General features: G+C 42.3%; 1 protein-coding gene across 4 annotated transcripts in view, besides 4 other annotated features; it reads right to left on the minus strand.

Annotated features, from left to right (window-relative positions):
- The window catches only part of TMEM154 (transmembrane protein 154), a 61,370-nt gene that overhangs the window by 36,414 nt on the left and 6,044 nt on the right, over positions 1–18,912 (minus strand). The window lies entirely within an intron of this gene.
- Positions 5,882–5,931: an enhancer, noted in NCBI's record as "active region_22038". NCBI's record gives its function as "activates an Ori minimal core promoter by ATAC-STARR-seq in GM12878 lymphoblastoid cells {active_cell/tissue: GM12878}" and the evidence as "EXISTENCE:reporter gene assay evidence [ECO:0000049][PMID:35858748]".
- Positions 8,553–8,622: an enhancer, noted in NCBI's record as "active region_22039". NCBI's record gives its function as "activates an Ori minimal core promoter by ATAC-STARR-seq in GM12878 lymphoblastoid cells {active_cell/tissue: GM12878}" and the evidence as "EXISTENCE:reporter gene assay evidence [ECO:0000049][PMID:35858748]".
- Positions 8,713–8,792: an enhancer, noted in NCBI's record as "active region_22040". NCBI's record gives its function as "activates an Ori minimal core promoter by ATAC-STARR-seq in GM12878 lymphoblastoid cells {active_cell/tissue: GM12878}" and the evidence as "EXISTENCE:reporter gene assay evidence [ECO:0000049][PMID:35858748]".
- Positions 10,888–10,947: a silencer, noted in NCBI's record as "silent region_15752". NCBI's record gives its function as "represses an Ori minimal core promoter by ATAC-STARR-seq in GM12878 lymphoblastoid cells {active_cell/tissue: GM12878}" and the evidence as "EXISTENCE:reporter gene assay evidence [ECO:0000049][PMID:35858748]".

Raw genomic sequence — 18,912 nt, forward strand, 5'->3', positions numbered from 1 at the left:
TACCAATGTTTGAAGAGTGGAGGGGCTTCAAAATGGCTGACTAGATGCATCTGGCAGTCACCTCTTCACAAAAAATAACAAAAATACTGAGTAGATAAGCTACATTTTGAATTGATCATTTAAGGGAGAACACAGGAATTCAACAGAGTAGTAATAGACAACACTTAAAGCACGGAAGGAGAGGGAAATAAGGCATCCTTCTTGGCTGAGACTGGCTGGGAGCCAGGAGAAGCTCCCCAATGTGGGGAAAGGGTAGTGGTCCATATTTCCACTGCAGACTCCTGCAGCCTAGCCACGGGAGAGCCCCTCAACTCTCACAGGCCCTGAGACTAACACTGAGAGCGCCTGTACACTGTGCAATGGCATTGCTCCAGAGAGGGACCTTATGCGGAGTCCCACACACCCCTGAGCCCTAGTGGCTGCAGCACAGTGCCACTTTGAGGGCCCAGCCCCCACCAGACTGTATCCTGCCCTAGGGCCCAACAGCCCCTGAATCTCCATGTCTCTGGAGCTCCTGCCTGCAGCCACCAGCGCTGCTGGCTGCTGCTGCCAGGGCCAAGGTAGGAGCCGCTGGCAGCACCCCTCCCCCCACCCCTGGCCAGCAGCGGGGCGCTCACACATGTTTATGTGCCTCAAGGACAAACTCCACTGTCCTCAGCTATTGCTGCTATAAACTGCTGCTGCTAGGGCCAAAGCATGAGCAAAGCATAGCCCCAGCTGGCTGCCTATGGTTGCTCCCACTGAAAGCAATCCCATCCTCTGCAGTAGCAGGCAGCAGTGTAGTCACTGCTGCCTTCACCTGAGCTTTCTATCAGCAGCCTGGGGATTGCTTCACCCCTACCTATTACAGCCAGCTACTGCATGCCCCACCAGAGAGTCAAAGAACAGGTCTGCACAGGCCAGCTCTCTCCCAGTGCAGTACTTGAGTGTGCCATTTGGGGCCTGGTGATTGCCCAGCCCAGTCTAGTCCATCACCACTGGCACCACAGCATTCCTCCCAGATGCCTGAGGTTGGGACTACCCACTCTGCTGCCACCATCATAGTTGGCATCCACCCTCATGTACCAGCTACAGGCCTGGGGACTGGCCTGCCCAGTCCATTGCAACCACTGCCAACACTAGCATGGGTACTTGGGACCCAGCGTGTTGTCCTACCACTGATACTGCCAACACCCACGTCAATCTGCCTACCTGCCTGGCTAACCACTACCATTTCTAGCACCCAAGCAAGACACCTGGAAGCCCAAAAACCAGCCTGCCTGGACACACTAACACCAGTGCCAGTGTATACTGCCTTGGGATCCAAGGACAGATATGCTCAACCCACCCCTGTCACCACTGGGGCCTGAAGACTGGCCCACCTGGTATCCTAGTCCCCAGCAATACTTCACCACAGCCTCCACTAACAACCACATCCTAAGCTGCTGGGGAAGCCACAGATACTACTGGCACTGGTTCCAGCAGAATAAATCATATGGAGACTACACTAATGTACATACCCAGAATCAAAGCCAAAGCACTCTACCTAACCAACACCAAAGAAACACCTTACTTTCATAGGGGAGAACTTTTTCCTCCCCTATGAAAGTAAATTCAGAGGCCGGGCGCAGTGGCTCATGCCTGTAATCCCAGCATTTTGGGAGGCTGAGGCAGGTGGATCACCTGAGGTCGGGAGTTCAAGACCAGCCTGACCAACATGGAGAAACCCCATCTCTACGAAAAATACAAAATTAGCCGGGCATGGTGGTGCATGCCTGTAATCCCAGTTACTCAGGAGGCTGAGGCAGGAGAATCGTTTGAACCTGGGAGGTGGAGGTTGCGGTGAGCCAAGATCATGCCATTGCACTCCAGCCATGAGAGGATACAGAAAAACAATACCCAAAATTAGAAAACAATTCAGGGTATGAATGAGAGAAATTCACCAAAGAGATAGAGATAATAAAAAAGAACCAAACAAATTCTGGACCTGAAGAATTCATAAAATAAAATCAAATACACTTGAAAGCTTCAACAATAGACTAAATCAAGCAGAAGGAAGAATCTCAGAATTTGAAGACAGGTCTTTTGAAATAACCTAGTCAGATAAAAATAAAGAAAAAAGAATGAGAAAAGCCTGTGTGACATACGAGATACCATAAAGCAAGAAGGCAAAGAGAAAATGAGTGTTAGAAAACCTTTTTAATGAAACAAGGCCAGATGCAGTGGCTCATGCCTGTAATCCCAGCACTTTGGGAGGACAAGGAGGGCAGATTGCTTGAGCTCATGAGTTCAAGGCCAGACTGGGCAACATGGCAAAACTCCATCTCTACTAAAAATACAAAAATTAGCTGGGTGTGGTGGCATGCTCCTGAAAACCCAGCTACTCAGGAGGCTTAGGCAGGAGGACCATCTGAGCCCTGGAGGCAGAGGTTGCAGTGAGCTGAGATTGTGCCACTGTACTTTAGCCTCAGCAACAGAGCCAGATCCTGCCTAAAAAGAAAAAGAAAAAGAAGACCTGTTTAATGAAACAATAGATGAAAACTTCCCAAGTTTCGCAAGAGATTTAGACATCCAGATACAGGAAGCTCAGAATTCTCCAAATAGATATAATTCAACAAAGGACTTCTCCACAGCACATTATAGTCAAACTGTCAAACATCAAAGACAAAGAAATAATCTAAAATCAGCAAGAGAAACGCATGTAGTCACCTATAAAGGAACCCCTATCAGACTAACAGTTAATTTCTCAGCAGAAATCTTACAGGCCAGGAGACAACAGGGTAATAAAGTCAAAGGGCTGAAAGAAAACAAAACAATGACAACAAAAACCCTGTCAACCAAGGATTCTATACCCAGCAAAGTTATCCTTCAAAAACAAAGGAAAAACAAAGTCTTTCCCAGACATGCAAAAGCTGAGGGAATTCGTTACCACTAGACTGGCCCTAAAAGAAATGCTTAAGGGAGTCCACTGAGAAGCAAAAGAACAATATTTATCATCATGAAAACAATGTTAGAACACAAAACAAGCTCAACACATTTTTAAAAATTGAAATCATATCAAATATCTTCTCAGACCACAACAGAATAAAACTACAAGTCAATAATAAGAAGAACTTTGGAGACTGTACAAATACATGGAAATTAAATAACATGCTCCTGAATGACCATTGAGTCAAGAAAGAAATTAAGGAGGAAATTTTTTAAAAAAGGCTTGAAACAAATAAAAATGGAAACACACCATGCTAAAACCTATGGGATACAGCAAAAGCAGTGCTAAGAGGGAAGTTTATAGTAACAAATACCTACATCAAAGAAGTAGAAAGATTTTAAACAGACAATCTAGTGATGCATCTCAAGGAACTAGAAAAGCAAGAGCAAATCAAACCCAAAATTAGTAGAAGGAAAGAAATAATAAAGATCAGAGCAGAACTAAATGAAATAGAGACTAAAAACAAACAAAAAACAAACAACACTACAATGAAATATCATTTCATTGAATGGTTATTTTTGGGCACAGTGGCTAATGCCTATAATCTCAGCATTTTTGGAGGTCAAGATAGGAGGATCACCTGAGGTCAGGAGTTTGAGACCAGCCTGGCCAGCTAAAAATACAAAATTTTTAGCTTTACTAAAAATACAAAAACTAGCTGGGCATGGTGGCACACTTCTGTAGTTCCAGCTACTTGGGAGGCTGAGGCAGGAGGATCACTTCAACCCAGGAGTTGGAGGTTGCAGTGAACTGAGATCACACCATTGCACTCCAGCCTGGGTGACAGAGCAAGATTCCATCTCAAAAGAAAAAAAAAAAAGGTTATTGTTGAAAAGGAAAAAGCATTCTTGCCTCATCTCTGGCAAGAATGCAGAGATAAGGGAACTCTTACACACTGTTGGTGGGAATGTAAATTAGTACAGCCACTATGGAAAACAGTAGGGCAATTTCTCAAAAAACTAACAAGAGAACTACCATACAATCCTCAATCTCACTACTGGGTATTTATCCAAAGGAAAATAAATCAGTATATCAAAGGAATAATTGCACTCGCGTGTTCATTGCAGCACTATTCACAATAGCCAAGATATGAAATCAACCGACGTATCTATCAATGGTTGAATGGATAAATAAAATGTGGTATATATACACAATGGAATACTATTCAGTCATAAAAAAGAATGAAATCATGTCTTATGCTGCAACATAGATAAAGCTGGAGGTCATTATTTTAAGTAAAATAAGACAGGCACAGAAAGACAAATATCTTATGTTCTTGCTCATATGTGGGAGCTAAAAAAGTTGATCTTACAAAGGTAGAGAGTATAATTATAAATATCAGAGGCTGGGAAGGGTGTGTGGGTAAGAGTAGGGGAAGAAGAGAGGTTGGTTAATGGGTAGAAACATACAGTTAGACAGTATAAATTATAATGTCCAATAGTAGAGTAGGACGACTGTAGTTAACAATAATATATTTTATATTTCAAAGTAGCTAGAAGACAGGACTTGAAATGTCCTCAGCACATAGAAATGATAAATACTTAAAGTGATGGATACCCCAAATACACTGACTTAATCATTATAGATTCTATCCATGCAACAAAAAATATCACATGTGCCCTATAAGTATGTAAAATATTATGTGTCAATAAAAATCCACCACTTACTGATCTCTGCCTTCTGAGTTAAGTGGCTTTGTCCTACATTTACAGTAGTCCCCCATTATCCAAGCGGAACATGTTTCAAGGCCCTAGAAGATGCCTGAAATTATCGGTAGTACTGAACCCCACATACACTGTGTTTTTTCTAAACATACCTATGATAAAGTTTAATTTATAATTAGGCACAGTAAGCAATGAATAACTAGTAATAAAATAGAACAATTACAACAATATACTATAATAAAAGTATGTGCATGTGATCTCTCTCTGGCTCTCAAAATATCTTATTGTACTGTACTATTTGTGGCCACGGTTGACCATGGGTAACTGAAACCACGGGTAACTGAAACCACGAAAAACGAAACTGTGGATAAGGGGGGACTACTGTATAAGTCTTTAAAATTGGGTAAGTCAATAATGTATTCACATATATGTTAAAGCCTTTGATATATCATGTATCACCCTGGACTAGTAAAGGACATTTGTCTTCCAGAAAACCTCCTCATTAAAATGATTCTGCTTGGAGAACTACTGCAGCCAGATCAAATAGCGTTTTCACTGGTAACCTTGGCCAGTGAAGACTGGTACATATGGGTATGATGAGGTTGGGTGTGGGGTGGGGAATGGGGTTGGTGGTTGGTGCGGCTGATGGTAATAATCCTTTTACCTAGAGGTCAGTGAATCTTCCTTGAGTATCCAGACCCCGCCCCCCCCTCACTTTACTTCTTTTGGTTACTTCTATGAATACTGTAGCCGCTGTTACTATTTCAGCATCTTTTTTTGAGAATTTACTAAGAACCAATCTCTATGCTCTGCCTTGTACCCGGATTATCGATTATCTCATTTTGTCCTCACCATTTTTTCAGATAGACATTAGGGCAAAGAGGTTACACAACTTGCCCAAGATCACAGAGCTCACATGGAGGAGTGACGATTTGAAACCAGGGGGCCGATGGCAGAACCAGAGCTTATAACCCCACACAGTGTTTTCCCTCCCTCAGGGAGGAATGCAATGCTTGCAAATCATAAAGTTTGGCCATAAAGTGGTGAATGAGAGGGAACCTCCTGCTCCCATTCCTCCGCCTATACTAGGAGGTGGCTTTCTGGCACAAGGCAGGACAGAGGAAAGGGTTCCCAGAAACCTCGGCTTTACTGGGGCTCTTGCTAAGGCTCCTCAGCTCAGATGCGTTGCCAGAAAAGCTGCCCAGAAGGACAGGGTCTTTTCAGCACCTCTCTGAGGAAGGTGAATGAAGTCCCTAGAAGAACACTTTGCATCTTAGTCACCATTTGACCCGTGGCCCCGGGAAAAGAGAAAATAGGAAAGGAAACAAGCTAACAAGAATAATGGGGACATCTAGACAATCGGGAATAAAAGAGAAACGGAAAGAAGCATACCAGATGGTCCTGGCCTGTGTACATTTACTTTTCAGCGTGAGACAACGCTGTTCACAGGTGGCCCTTGGTGGAACGGTGGAGTTAAAGAGGCTGAAAGTTCTCTCTGCAATGTCCCCCTCCCACATGCCCTCACATATGTTTTCTGCATTAAGCATCATTTGCTCTCTCAGATTCTCTAGTGGCTATTTAAATAAATGAGAATCAAGGGATTGTTCTCTTTCTCTCTCTCTCTCTCTCTCTCTCTCTCTCTCTCTCTCTCTCTCTCTCTCTCTCTCTCCCCCCAACTCTATGATAGCTTCAAAATAATAAATTACAGTAACTGGGATGTATTGAATGCTTAGTATGTGCTAGCTGCTAGGATACACATGTGCTATCTAATTCGATCTTCACAACTTTATTGCCCACATTTTACAGATGAAGAAACTGAATCTTGAATGTCTTGCCCTTGCCCTGGGGTGCAATCCTGTCATTTATATTGTTAATTTCTACTGAGTTTTGAAGGTGCATTTCCTCAAGCATAGGTGACAAATAACAGATGAGGGTCTGGTCATAGCTCTGCCACTTTGTACTTATAGAATTTGGACAAATTACTTTTCTCTTGATGACTTAATGCTCTAATCTGTACAACTAAGGAGTGATCCCCAAGGTCCCATCTATTTCCACATCTCTGTTGATTCCAAAGTGTTCTACCTTGTTTTTAAGTAGTTTTTGAATAGGTAATCTGCACATGGTACTCAGTTCAGAAAGGAAGTTTCGCTACCACCCTTTCCCCAAGTTACTCAGTTTCCTTGCCCAGAAGTAACCACCGTTTCTGCTCCTTTGAGAGAAACTCTATGCATATACAAGTATAAGTATTGTTTCCTGTTTTCTCTTTTTGACACAAATGGTAGCACAATTTATATACTTTCTGCCCCTTGCTTTTTTCACTTAAAATTTTATCTTGAAGATCATTCCATGACTGTATAGAGAGCTTTTTTCCCCATTGTTTGAATGTATTATAATCTTTTCCTATTGACAGAGATTTAGGTTCTGTTGTGTTTCCAACAATACTGCAATAAACCTCTCTGCTCATCCTTCAGTTTGCACACAGGCAAGCAAGTTCTACAGTGTATCTAAAAATGGGGAGAGCATGAGAGGGTGTTAGGTGCAGGGTAAGAGGGGACAGCATCAAACTACTCTTGGTGGTCTGATCAGAAAAATTCTCTAAGACAACCCTAGTACTCCAGTTTCCACATAATGAGAATTGACAGAAACTAAGGGAAGAACCAGGTGTGCAGGGAGTCTGGGATGTCAAAGGGAGGAAAGTTGAAAACACTGGGGATCAGCTCCAAGAGTTTGTGCAAGGAGGAATCAAATGTCATCAAAAGGTGAGCTGGCAAACAAAGATGAGCCATAGAATCAGATCAGCAGCCAGGAGTGGATTGCCAAGGTGACAAGGTAAGAGTTAGGAAGAAAATCAGAAGTGTACACCAACAAGGTGGAAACCAGAGGAGGTGCCAAAGGCCACAAAAGTATGGATGCGGAGGGCAGCTCAAGGGATTTCCCCCAAAACATGACAGGTGTCCCTCCCATGGCCTATGGGTTAACAGCCACTCTTAATGCAGTGGACATGGGGCCCCCTAAAACCACTGTGTTTAAAGAAACACTGACTAAGGCCCATAATCGTCCATGGAGATTTCCTGCGGGCGGCATCCTGGGCTTCTTGGGTGAAAGTGACCTTTTACAACTTTGGGAGTCCAGCCACTGTGGAGGAAGGCAGAACTCTCTTTCAGGAAATAAGTCTGGAGGTGAACCCTCCAGAACACACAGGGGTACTTCCCTGTGCTGCGCTCCAGGACTCCAAGGACATAACCATAGCATCGTGGAAGGAAGACAGGATTTGAATTCAGAAGAGCTAGGCTTGAGACTGGCTGCTGCCCTCTGCACCCTTGGGGCCTGGGAAGAATTCCCTCCCTCTCTAATTCTCCATTTCCTAAAAGCCAAAAAAGTAGGCCTTCTGCTCTGTCTAGCCCATAGTGTTCATATGAAAGTAAATGAAATAAGAACTGTTAAAATGCTTTAGGAGCCATAAAGCACCATACACGGGCCAGGTATTTGTGTCTTTGTTATTTTCTTCATCCATCACCTGTTCTCTTTCCCCCATCTCTGTACTTGCCTGTTTCTCTGCTGTTCCCCAGAAGGTTAATCTGCCTGGTATAACTTCCTCATTTTACTGCTACTTTACTTCCTTATCTAAATTTGGGCATATTTCAGGGTAAAAGAGGTGGGGCTAGAGGTAAAACTAGCAAAGCTACAGAAGACAGAAATAGGACACAGGGTTAGAGGGCAAAGAGAGAGGCATTAACAAGCAAAAGAATAGAAAAGAAGAAATAAGGAACACAACAGGTTAGAAGCAGAAAGGTGTGTGAAGGTCAGTCTTGCGTGGCTTCATGCCCTGCATGGGACCAAACTCCCAGATCACTGGGTGTGAGGGCCGAGGCTGGTAGCCTCATAAGCTGCAGATTTGGCAGAAGCCCCTGCTGTTAGGTGGCCAAGTCACAGTCATCTCAAGTGACCGCAACACAAACTCTCCCAGGAAGTCTCTCTCCGTTTCACCAGTTCTCTTTCTCTCTGGTCAGATAATGTAGCATTTTAAAGAGATAATGGAAGTGGTCAGTCATGTGAATGATGAAACTAAGCTGCAATACTTCACTTTATTGTTTATCCAAAAATCTTAAGATCACTTGATAATAAACTGCACAGTGTACAGAGTCACTTACAAATACTTATTGACAATATTCACGCAGACACATCTGGGATTCATCTTTCACACATCTGGTGAGGATGTATGGGGAAATCCTTGTAAATGGGAAGAAATGTTTGAGGTAACGCCTGGCAGCCCCAACAGCTGGGCAGCACAGTGTCCCCATTATCCCTGCTCAGGGCATTATCACTAAATGGAAATGACTCTGCTTCTCCAGGAAGCAAACTAGCTAACTTCTCTTTTTCTGAAAGTGAAACAAATGTGCAACCAACACATACGTGCACTGTTTACAATAGCAAAGACATGGAACCAACCCAAATGCCCATCAATGATAGACTGGATAAAGAAAATGTGGTACATATACACCGTGGAATACTATGCAACCATAAAAAAGAATGAGATCAGGCCCTTTGCAAGGACATGGATGAAACTGGAAGCCATCATTCGCAGCAAACTAACACAGGAACAGAAAACCAAACACCACATGTTCTCACTCATAAGTGGGAGTTGAACAATGACAATACATGGACACAGGGAGGGGAACAACACACACTGGGGCCTGTCGTGGCGGGGGGGTACAAGGGGAGGGAGAGCATTAGGACAAATACCTAATACATGCAGGGCTTAAAACCTATATGATGGGTTGATAGGTGTAGCAAACCGCCATGGCACACATATACCTATGTAACAAACCTGCACACTGGAATTTAAAGTAAAATTTTTTTAAAGCTTAATTAATAAACACAAAAATATGTTATAAAACTGCAACCAAGCTCTAGCTTTTAAAGTTAGAAGAAGAAAGTATTATAAACTTACTGAAAGACTGTCACATTAGTAATACAATGTGAAATAAAACAATGACAAGAGAATGCTACTAAACTCAGGATGTCATGAAGTATGTTGGACCACAGTCAGATGCCCCATTCTTTCATTTGTCAATTATGTGAACTCCATGTGCAAATTATTTAAACAATTTTATAGTTAAGATGGTAAAATGAAAGAAAACATGTCAGATGTCAAGCCCTCAAACTCTTCCCTGCGTTGTGGAGTAACTGACATGTTTGAATTTCAGGATGATCAAGAAATCACACCCAAAAGCCTGACTCCTTTTCATTCTCCTGTATATAATGAAGAGCCTGATTAGCATTAGAAGAAGGAGAGAAAAACAAACCAGGAAGTCTTCCAGTGGTTCTCAGCCTAGTCTGCCCATAGAATCACTGAGGCATCTTTCAATAACCTGATGCCCACACCATACCCCAAACTCAGTTACATCAAAATACCTGAGGGTGCAGCTTCTAGGGAGAACGAAGCAGGAGGATCACTTGAGTCCAGTCCAAGGCTGAATGAGCTATGATCACACCAGTGCACTCTAGCCTGGGTAATCGAGCAAGACCCTGTTCTAAATATCGATCAATCTAAATATTTAGGGGTAGAACCCAGGTCTCAATAATTTTTACAGTTCTCCTTGTGGCTCCAGGACGCAGCTGAAGTTGTGTCTCACTTCTCTAGACCCTGCCCACTTCTGGCCTCCCCTGAGCCACACCAGATCATTCCCTGTCTTGTTCTCTATGGTCCTCGGTGAATTTGAGAAAAATTAGAGGTCAAGGAGTTGGATGCCAAAGGCTTGCCTAGCAGCTGCCAACTCTATCACCAGAATACAATAGCTTAAAAATCATCACTGAAGTCTCAAGAACCTGGAAGAGTCTAGCTAGGATATGAGAGAGGGCTGTGACAATCACACCTTCCTGAATAAGCCTGAATTAGAGAGATGCATGCCAGGGTTTAAACCCTGCATATCCAGAAAATGTTATGGCTAATAGAAGAGCTATCAGCAATAGCTTTAATTGGTGCTTTAAGACAGCGGTCCTCAAACCTTAGTGTGTATTGGAAACACCTACAGCCCTTCTTAAAACACAGATTGTTGGGCGTAGTCTTACAGTTTCTGATGTAATAGGTCTGGGAGGGGGCCCAAGAATTTGCTTTTTTTTTTTTTTTTTGAGACAGGGTCTCACTTGGTTGCCCAGCCTGGAGTGCAGTGGTATGAACATGGCTCACTGCAGCCTTGCACTCCTGGGCTCAAGCAAACCTCCCACCTCAGCCCACCAAGTAGGTGGGACTACAGACGTGCGCCACCACGCCTGACTAATTTTTGCATTTTCTGTAGAAACAGGGAGTCTCACTTTGTTACCCAGGCTGGTCTCCAACTACTGGGCTCAAGCGATCCTGCTTCAGCCTCCCAAAGTGCCAGGATTACAGGCATGAGCCACCAAGTCCTACCAGAATTTGCATTTTCAACAAGTAATCAGGTTGTGCTGATGCTGCTGGTCTGCAGGGCATACTGGTTGAAGTTGCTCAAACAATCTCATTTAGTTGTGGCTAATTATCAGTCACACCTGTTGTTGTTCTCCACATTTGCTGTGCATCAGCGTCACCTGGGAAGTTTTCAAGCCCTAACCAAATTAGTTATTTGAGACTATCTGGGGGCGTGGCCTGGGTAACAGTATTTCTTAAAAGCTCCCCAAATAACTCTAGTAAGTATGTATGTTAGGTTGAGAATGACTGAGTTAAATAATAACTGAGTGGACTTTATTTTAATTTGCCATTGTTCGTGAAGACAGTCATTAGTTTTAAATGTGATTAGACAACCCTCCACAGAAGCCTTTGGGAACAAAATTAAATTTTGTAGAGACAGGGAGTCTCACTTTGTTACCCAGGCTGGTCTCAAATTACTGGGCTCAAGCAATCCTCCTGCTTCAGCCTCTCAAAGTGCCAGGATTACAGGTATGAGCCACCAAGTCCTACCAGAATTTGCATTTTGGAGTATGCACCATTAAACAGTTTAACTCTTCAGTTGATCTCTTTTTAAAAATCAATTGTTCAGCATCTGTGGAATCTGATTGTGATGTGGTCAGGGACAGAATGGGACTAAAATGAGAATAACCATGCCAGACTCTTCAGGACACAACCTGGCTATGGGAGGCTGATTGTGTTTGCATGGAGACACTAACTCCAAGTGGATGGATGACACCACTGGGACACTGTTGCTCATGGACCACAGACAGTGGCGCTGGGACACCAATGCTCAGACTATAGATGGTGGTGATGGGACACCATTGCTCATGGACTGCAGACAGTGCTACGAGGACACCGATGCTCATGGACTACAGATGCTGCTCTGAAGTGCTCTGCACTTTACTTTTCTCTAGTTCATTTCCAAACGGTACTAACTTATTATTTATTATCTGGAATTACTTCATTTGTGTACTTCTCTGCCATCTGTCTCCTTCACTGTTTTGTACGTATCCCCAGCACCTGCAACCCCATCTGCTGTGTGTGGAAGGAATGACTGAAGGAAATGTCCAATAGGCCTGGTGGGCCTGTGGTGAAATTGCCAGTCACGCTCTCACCTTTTTCTCCAGAGTCTGATCTCCTCCTTCCCCTAACAACTTCCTTTCTGTCATACATACACGGTGTATCTCTAGTCACAAAGAAAGACAAATCTAAAGTGGTTTTCCTTCAAAAAGCTATCTAAATTTTTCGAACATACAAGGGAATGGAGGAATTGCTTAATAACAACTTATGCATCCTAAATAATGAGACTTCATGTTTATAGTTTTTTTTTTGTCAGGAGCAATGAGGGTGGTTCATGCATTTGCCCCCACGTAAAGGTCAGGTGACTTGATTCTCTCTGGGAGCAGGACTCGAGAAGAGGAGGGATTGCTGTTTTCTTATAAGCTCAGTTGTTCTACATATTTGCCAATTTTATTAAGTGAAAGCCTTCACCTAATATGTTTTTTCTGACTAATTTACTTGAAGAAGTTATGGACAGAGTAAATAGGTGGTTGAACAGATACAAGGCAGAAGCATTGAAGATTAATGGCAGCTTGTAAGTGCAGAAAGGTATTTGAGATCATCAAGCAATGCCTGTGTTTTGTACACTTTTTCTCTTCAGCCACCAGATAACTAGAGGTGATGATGCCTTGCATCGAAAGAACATAAAGAAAGGATTCTTTTTTCTGGTTTTGAGGAGGTTGTCTGGTAAAACACTTTCAGCCAGTAGTCTGCTCTGGGAAATTACTCGTTAGGGTTTGTTGTATTTTTACCTCCTTGAATTGAGAAGCACACCTGCAACTGTAATTTACTATCAGATTAAAACATGTTTCACAGTGGGGAGACCCACAATGTTCCAATGTCTTTTTCATTTGAAACTTTTATTTTGATGTCTTTTTAAGAGGAAGCTTGCTCACATTTAATCAGATTTGCTCAGGCCCCAAGGCTGTTTCTGGTTTGAAGTCACTCACTTGGGGAAGCTGCATTTTTGACCGCCTGACTACCTTTTTATACACTGGAATCCTACAGTAACCTGTAGCACCTGGCAGTTTTAAAGAATGCGTATTTTTAGGAGACAGAACACAAATATATTTTAAAACCTTCAAAAAGTTCTTCGTACCATCAATGAGATAAGCAACATGAAAGTGCTTTGAAATGAAAAAAAAAAAAGGATTATTAAATGATCGTTATTGCCAAACTGAATACTTTCCCAATTTTACTATATTTCTACTTATTTTATTATATTTCTTCTTTTCAAGGGCCAATTTCAAAATTATAATTGAAAAGAGTAACTTGAAAACAGATACTCCCAGCCATGCCCTTGCCTCAAGACATCTGCCGTCTCCCTGGCCTCTGAGGCAGGGTGGGAAGACACCGCCACCCCATTCCATAGGTGAAGAGCTCTTTCATGGGGTACATGCGCATCCCACTCCTTGCTCGGCTCAGCACAAGCTCAGCATTGCCAGAGAGAAAAACTGGAAGACAGAGACAAACAAAACAACAACTGGTAGGTGGGTGCTTGTGATAAGTTAAAGATAGGAAACCAGGGAACGCTGTGGGCTGCCACCCCAGGGGCTTGGTCGCCACCAAGAGTGAAGGAGGAACAACAGGGAGAGGATATGCACCAGAGTCCCCATCGCCAGCCTAAGCAGGAGCACAGGAGCAACAGCGTTTGATGCTTTCCTACAAGAGGCTGAAGAAGGAAACAAGTTGCTGAGGTTTTGAAGAATCGTGGGTCGCATTTCCTTGGATCAGCTAAGCCCCGAACAGATCCCTAAAGCAACTGGGCTTCTGGTCCTATTTCACCTTCAAAGAGAATCAATCCTACCCTTCCATCCTGAACAGTCTTCTAGGCTCAAGCACTCTGAATTTTCCTATCGTGGCTGGAGCTATCGATTTGGTGCTAGTCTCACTCTCTTTGTCAACCTCTCTTGTGCATTTATTAATACAAACTTATTATTTTTTCCTAACTTAGTTTTTAACGTGATTACATTCACAGATTTTTTAAAAGTTGATCTGCTCTTGAATTCCTGGTTTTATTCTATGTAATTATCAGTATTTTTTTTCAGAAATGGTCTCTTTTTATTTGAATGGTTGATCTAGGACTCAGCCTAAATATTATTCTAATACGTAGCTGTACATAACCAACATGTCTATGATGTTAGTGATGAACCAGAACCAACACAGAGATGGTCTTTGCCTGATAAAAGATAATCACAATCCGAAATAAAATTACTAGGTAAAATACAGGATGCCTAGTTAAATTTGAGTATCAGATAAACAATGAAACATTTTTAGTTACATGTCCCATGTAATATTTGTACTAAATACTTATACTAAATTGTAAAGGACATACTTATACTAAATTGTAAAGGACATCCTTATACTAAAGGAAAGCATTGCTTATCTGAAATTCACATTTAACTGGTTGTCCTATATTTTTATTTGTTAAATGTGGCAATCTTAATCATAAACAAATAAGCAAACAAGTATAAGTCTTAGAAAAGAATAAATCAATTTTTAAATGAATGCATTTAGTGTTGTCAGGGAATAATTACAATATGTCAGCAAACCTTGGCAACCATTGGAATCCCGTTTCTGAAAATTACAGTGTAGTGTGAAGTAGAAAATAACAACGATGGTTTTAACTCATATGAAACATAGAAAAAATTCAGAAACAAACTAGATTTATTGGTTTTAAGGAAAAGAAGCCAGAACAACTACCAGAATACTGTTCTGTTAGGTAACTCTTCTTTTAACCACCTTCTTTAATTACTCAGGAAATATTTCTGTGTTTTCCTCAACAACTGGAGTAGATTTTCCCATGAGTTTTATGTTACACAAAGTTTAGTTATTTTTAAAGTTATCAAATCAGCTCTTACTGGCTTGAAGTTAAGTATCCATGGAACTTGTATTTCCTTTGTTTTCCTTTCAAATGTCTCCCCAAAATGCTTGTAACTGTGTATCCTTTCTGTAAATAATTTTGCCACTTATTGTGTATTTTTCTGGGTCTGAACTTGTGTTCATATTTTCAGAAGGTGGGTAAAAATGTTTTCTCCGCAGCTACATAGTATTTTCTCCAGGAAGGCTGGCGGGGGCAGAGTGCAATAATTGTTTTGGTTTGAAGGGACAGAGGTGAACTGTTCATACATTAAAAGATTTGGGAGGCCGGGTGCGGTGGCTCACGCCTGTAATCTGTAATCCCAGCACTTTGGGAGGCCAAAGTGGGCGGATTACTTGAGGTCAGGAGTTTGAGACCAGCCTGGTCAACATGGTAAAACACCATCTCTACTGAAAATACAAAAAAATTAGCTGGGCTTGGTGGCAGGTGCCTGTAATCCCAGCTACTCGGGAGGCTGAGGCAGGAGAATCGCTTGAACCCGGGAGCCGGAGGTTGCAGGAGCAGAGATTGCACCACTACACTCCAGCCTGGGCAACAGAGTAAGACTCCATCTCAAAAAAATAAAAATAAAATAAAATAACTAAATAAATAAAAGATTTGGGATAGTTAGCTAATATTCTGGAATAAAATTATAAAACTGGGTTAACTAAAAATAACATTTATCCAAGTATTGATATATTTTGATTTTATTATTTAAATGATTACAATCTCCTCATATATACAAGTAAATCTTGGGGCATTTGATAAATTTCATGTTTATGCATTCATTGAGTCAGCCACTACACTTTTGTTGTGTGCCTATTAACGTGCAAGTGGCCATTCTAAGTGGCCATTTGGCAAGTGCAGGTGAATGAGACCAGCTTCTGCCTCCCAGGGAAGTGGCTGTTAAGTAGGGACGATGGCATGCAAATCGGTAATTATAATACAGATTAATAAAAGCCATCATGTGTTTGTATACAAAGTCTCATGAGTACATGGGAGAGGAAGACATTCATTGCATTCGGGGCTAAGGGGTACTCAGGTATTTGATGCAGGGGAATGGACCAGTCAGTTGAACCTTGGGAGTTCTTCAAGCAAAGAGGGAAGAGAAAGGCATTACAGTTGAGGGCACAGCATACAGAAAGACTCAGTGGCCCAACAGAGCTTGGCACACTCAAGTGGCTGTATTATAGGGCTCACGGTGGGAAGCAGGAAGTAGCAAATGTAAAGCAGGAAAGGAACTCAAGACCAGCTCATCATTAGCTTGTAATGATGCCAAGGGGATTGGACTCTATCTCAAGGAGATGAAGAACCACTGAGGGATGAGTACAGGAGGAAATGATTCCATTTTTATTGCAGAACCATCACTCTGGAGGTTATGTGAAAATGGGTTGGAGATGAGACTAGAGGCAAGAAGACTGGTTAAGAAGTTAAGAAAATAGCCTAGGCCGGGCGCGGTGGCTCACGCCTGTAATCCCAGCACTTTGGGAGGCCGAGGCGGGCAGATCACGAGGTCAGGAGATCGAGACCATCCCGGCTAAAACGGTGAAACCCCGTCTCTACTAAAAATACAAAAAATTAGCCGGGCGTAGTGGCGGGCGCCTGTAGTCCCAGCTACTTGGGAGGCTGAGGCAGGAGAATGGCGTGAACCCGGGAGGCGGAGCTTGCAGTGAGCCGAGATCCCGCCACTGCACTCCAGCCTGGGCGACAGAGCGAGACTCCGTCTCAAAAAAAAAAAAAAAAAAAAAAGAAAAGAAAATAGCCTAGGTGAGAGCCCACAGGAGTCTGAACTGGCAGGGAGCAAAGAATGAGTATTGTTTTGGAACTGAGTTTAAGGCCCCTGTGACATGTCCAGGGAAAACCGGTGATGAAAATACCAGGTTGGGCAGATAGGTCTGGCTGGAGGTGGTTATTTGGGAATCCCCAACCCAGGGGTGAGATGAAAGTGGGTGTGGCTGGGCTCAATGTCTCACGCCTATAATCCCAGGACTTTGGGAGGTCTAAGTGGGAGGACGGCTTGAGCCCAAAAGTTCAAGGCCAGCTGAGCAACATACAGAGACCCTATCTCTATAAAAAAAAAAAAAAAAAAAAGCAAAAATTAGCCGGGTGTAGTGGCATGCGCCTGTAGTCCCAGCTACTCAGGAGGCTGAGGTGGGAGGATTGCTTGAACCCAGAGGCTTGAATCCAAGATCGTGCCACTGTACTATACAGCCTGGGTGACAAAGTGAAACCCTTAAGAAAAAAAAAGGGTTGTCATGACCCAGGACTGGTGTAAGGAGTGAGAAAAGAAAAGAACACTGACATGAAATGAGCAGGTGGTAGAGAAAGATTCATAACCAAACACTGGAAAGAAGCAATCAGAGTCACAGTAGGGGACCCAGAAGAAAAGAGCATCGTGAAGATCAAGGATAAGAGAGCTGCAATCACTGATTAATTAGGACAAGTGCTATGGAGAAAAACATAAAATAAGCACAGAAATGGGTCTTTTGGGTTTAGCTTTTAGGAATCACTGGTGATGGAGACAGAGCGATCTGAAATCTGTACCTGACACAGTAGCCACATGGCAGAGGATTGAGAAATGAATGGAATGTGAGAAACTGAGAGTGTATTGACCATCTTCAAAGAGACTGGGAGACGTGAAAAAGAAAGATGGAGGAGAGCAAGAAGAACTCACAGGCTCTCTCATTATTTTCCATTATGAAAGTATACCTACTGAAAAGAATAGAGGATGATTTAACAAGTAACAAGGCACTCATCCCCTAATTATCTTAAATTTTTCCATATTGACAAGAGCAGAGGTTGGCAAACTTTCTCCTAAAAGGCTAGAGAGTAAACATTTTAGATTTTGTGGGCCAAGAGGCAAATACCAGCTATTATGAAAGCACTTATTTATATAAACATTAAAGGTAAAACCATTTACAAATGTAAAAATCAATCTTAGCTTGGAAATAAAGGAAGCTGGCTGGGTTTGGCCCATGGGTCTTAGTTTGCTGAGCCCTGGACTACCATCTTTTTGCTGACAGAAACAATATTTTGGATATAATTGAAGCCCTCATTACACCCCTCCCTGATCTCATTTCTCTTCCTCACTCGTCAAAGGTAATTATTGTCCTAAAGTTACTGTGTATCATTCCCACTTTTCAAACATGTCTATGTCCCTAAGCAATATATAGCGTAATTTTGGTTGTTTAAACATGTTTAAATAAGTATAATTATTCTATGCATAGTAATCCTTTTTTTCTTTTTTTTTTCCCACCCCGCTTCTGCATAATAATTTTATTTACTTCTTTATTTGTTTTGAGACAGAATCTCACTCTGTTGCCCAGTCTGGAGTGAAGTGGCACAATCTCAGCTCACTGCAACCATTGCCTTCCAGGTTCAAGCAGTTCTCCTGCCTTAGCCTCCCGAGTAGCTGGGACTACAGGCATGCGCCACCATGCCCAGCTAATTTTTGTATTTTTAGTAGAGACGGAATTTCACCACATTGGTCAAGCTAGTCTCGAACTCCTGACCTCAAGTGATCCGCCTGCCTCTGCCTCCCAAAGTGCTGGGATTACAGTCCTGAGCCACCATGCCTGGTGGCATAATAATCTTTAACTGACTTTTTCATCAACATGACTTTTGATACATTTGGCTTGATACATTTGATACGTGTATCAACATGACTTTTGAGACTGATTCACCTTGATACATTTGGCTGGAATTCATTAATTTTACTTGTTATGTTGTACTCATTCTGTGACTATACTAAATATTATTTTTCCTTTTGTTGATAGACATTTAGGTTGCTTTCATTTTGTTTTGTTTTGTTTTTCATTTTTACAAACAATGCTATCATCAACAACCTCAGCCATATCTTTTGACTGCACATTTGTGAGTGAGCTAGGAGTCAATTCTTGGGATTGTGGAGCATGAACATCTTCTGCTTGTGTAA

The sequence above is a fragment of the Homo sapiens genome, chromosome 4, assembly GCF_000001405.40.
Source record: "Homo sapiens chromosome 4, GRCh38.p14 Primary Assembly".
Classification (NCBI taxonomy): domain Eukaryota; kingdom Metazoa; phylum Chordata; class Mammalia; order Primates; family Hominidae; genus Homo; species Homo sapiens.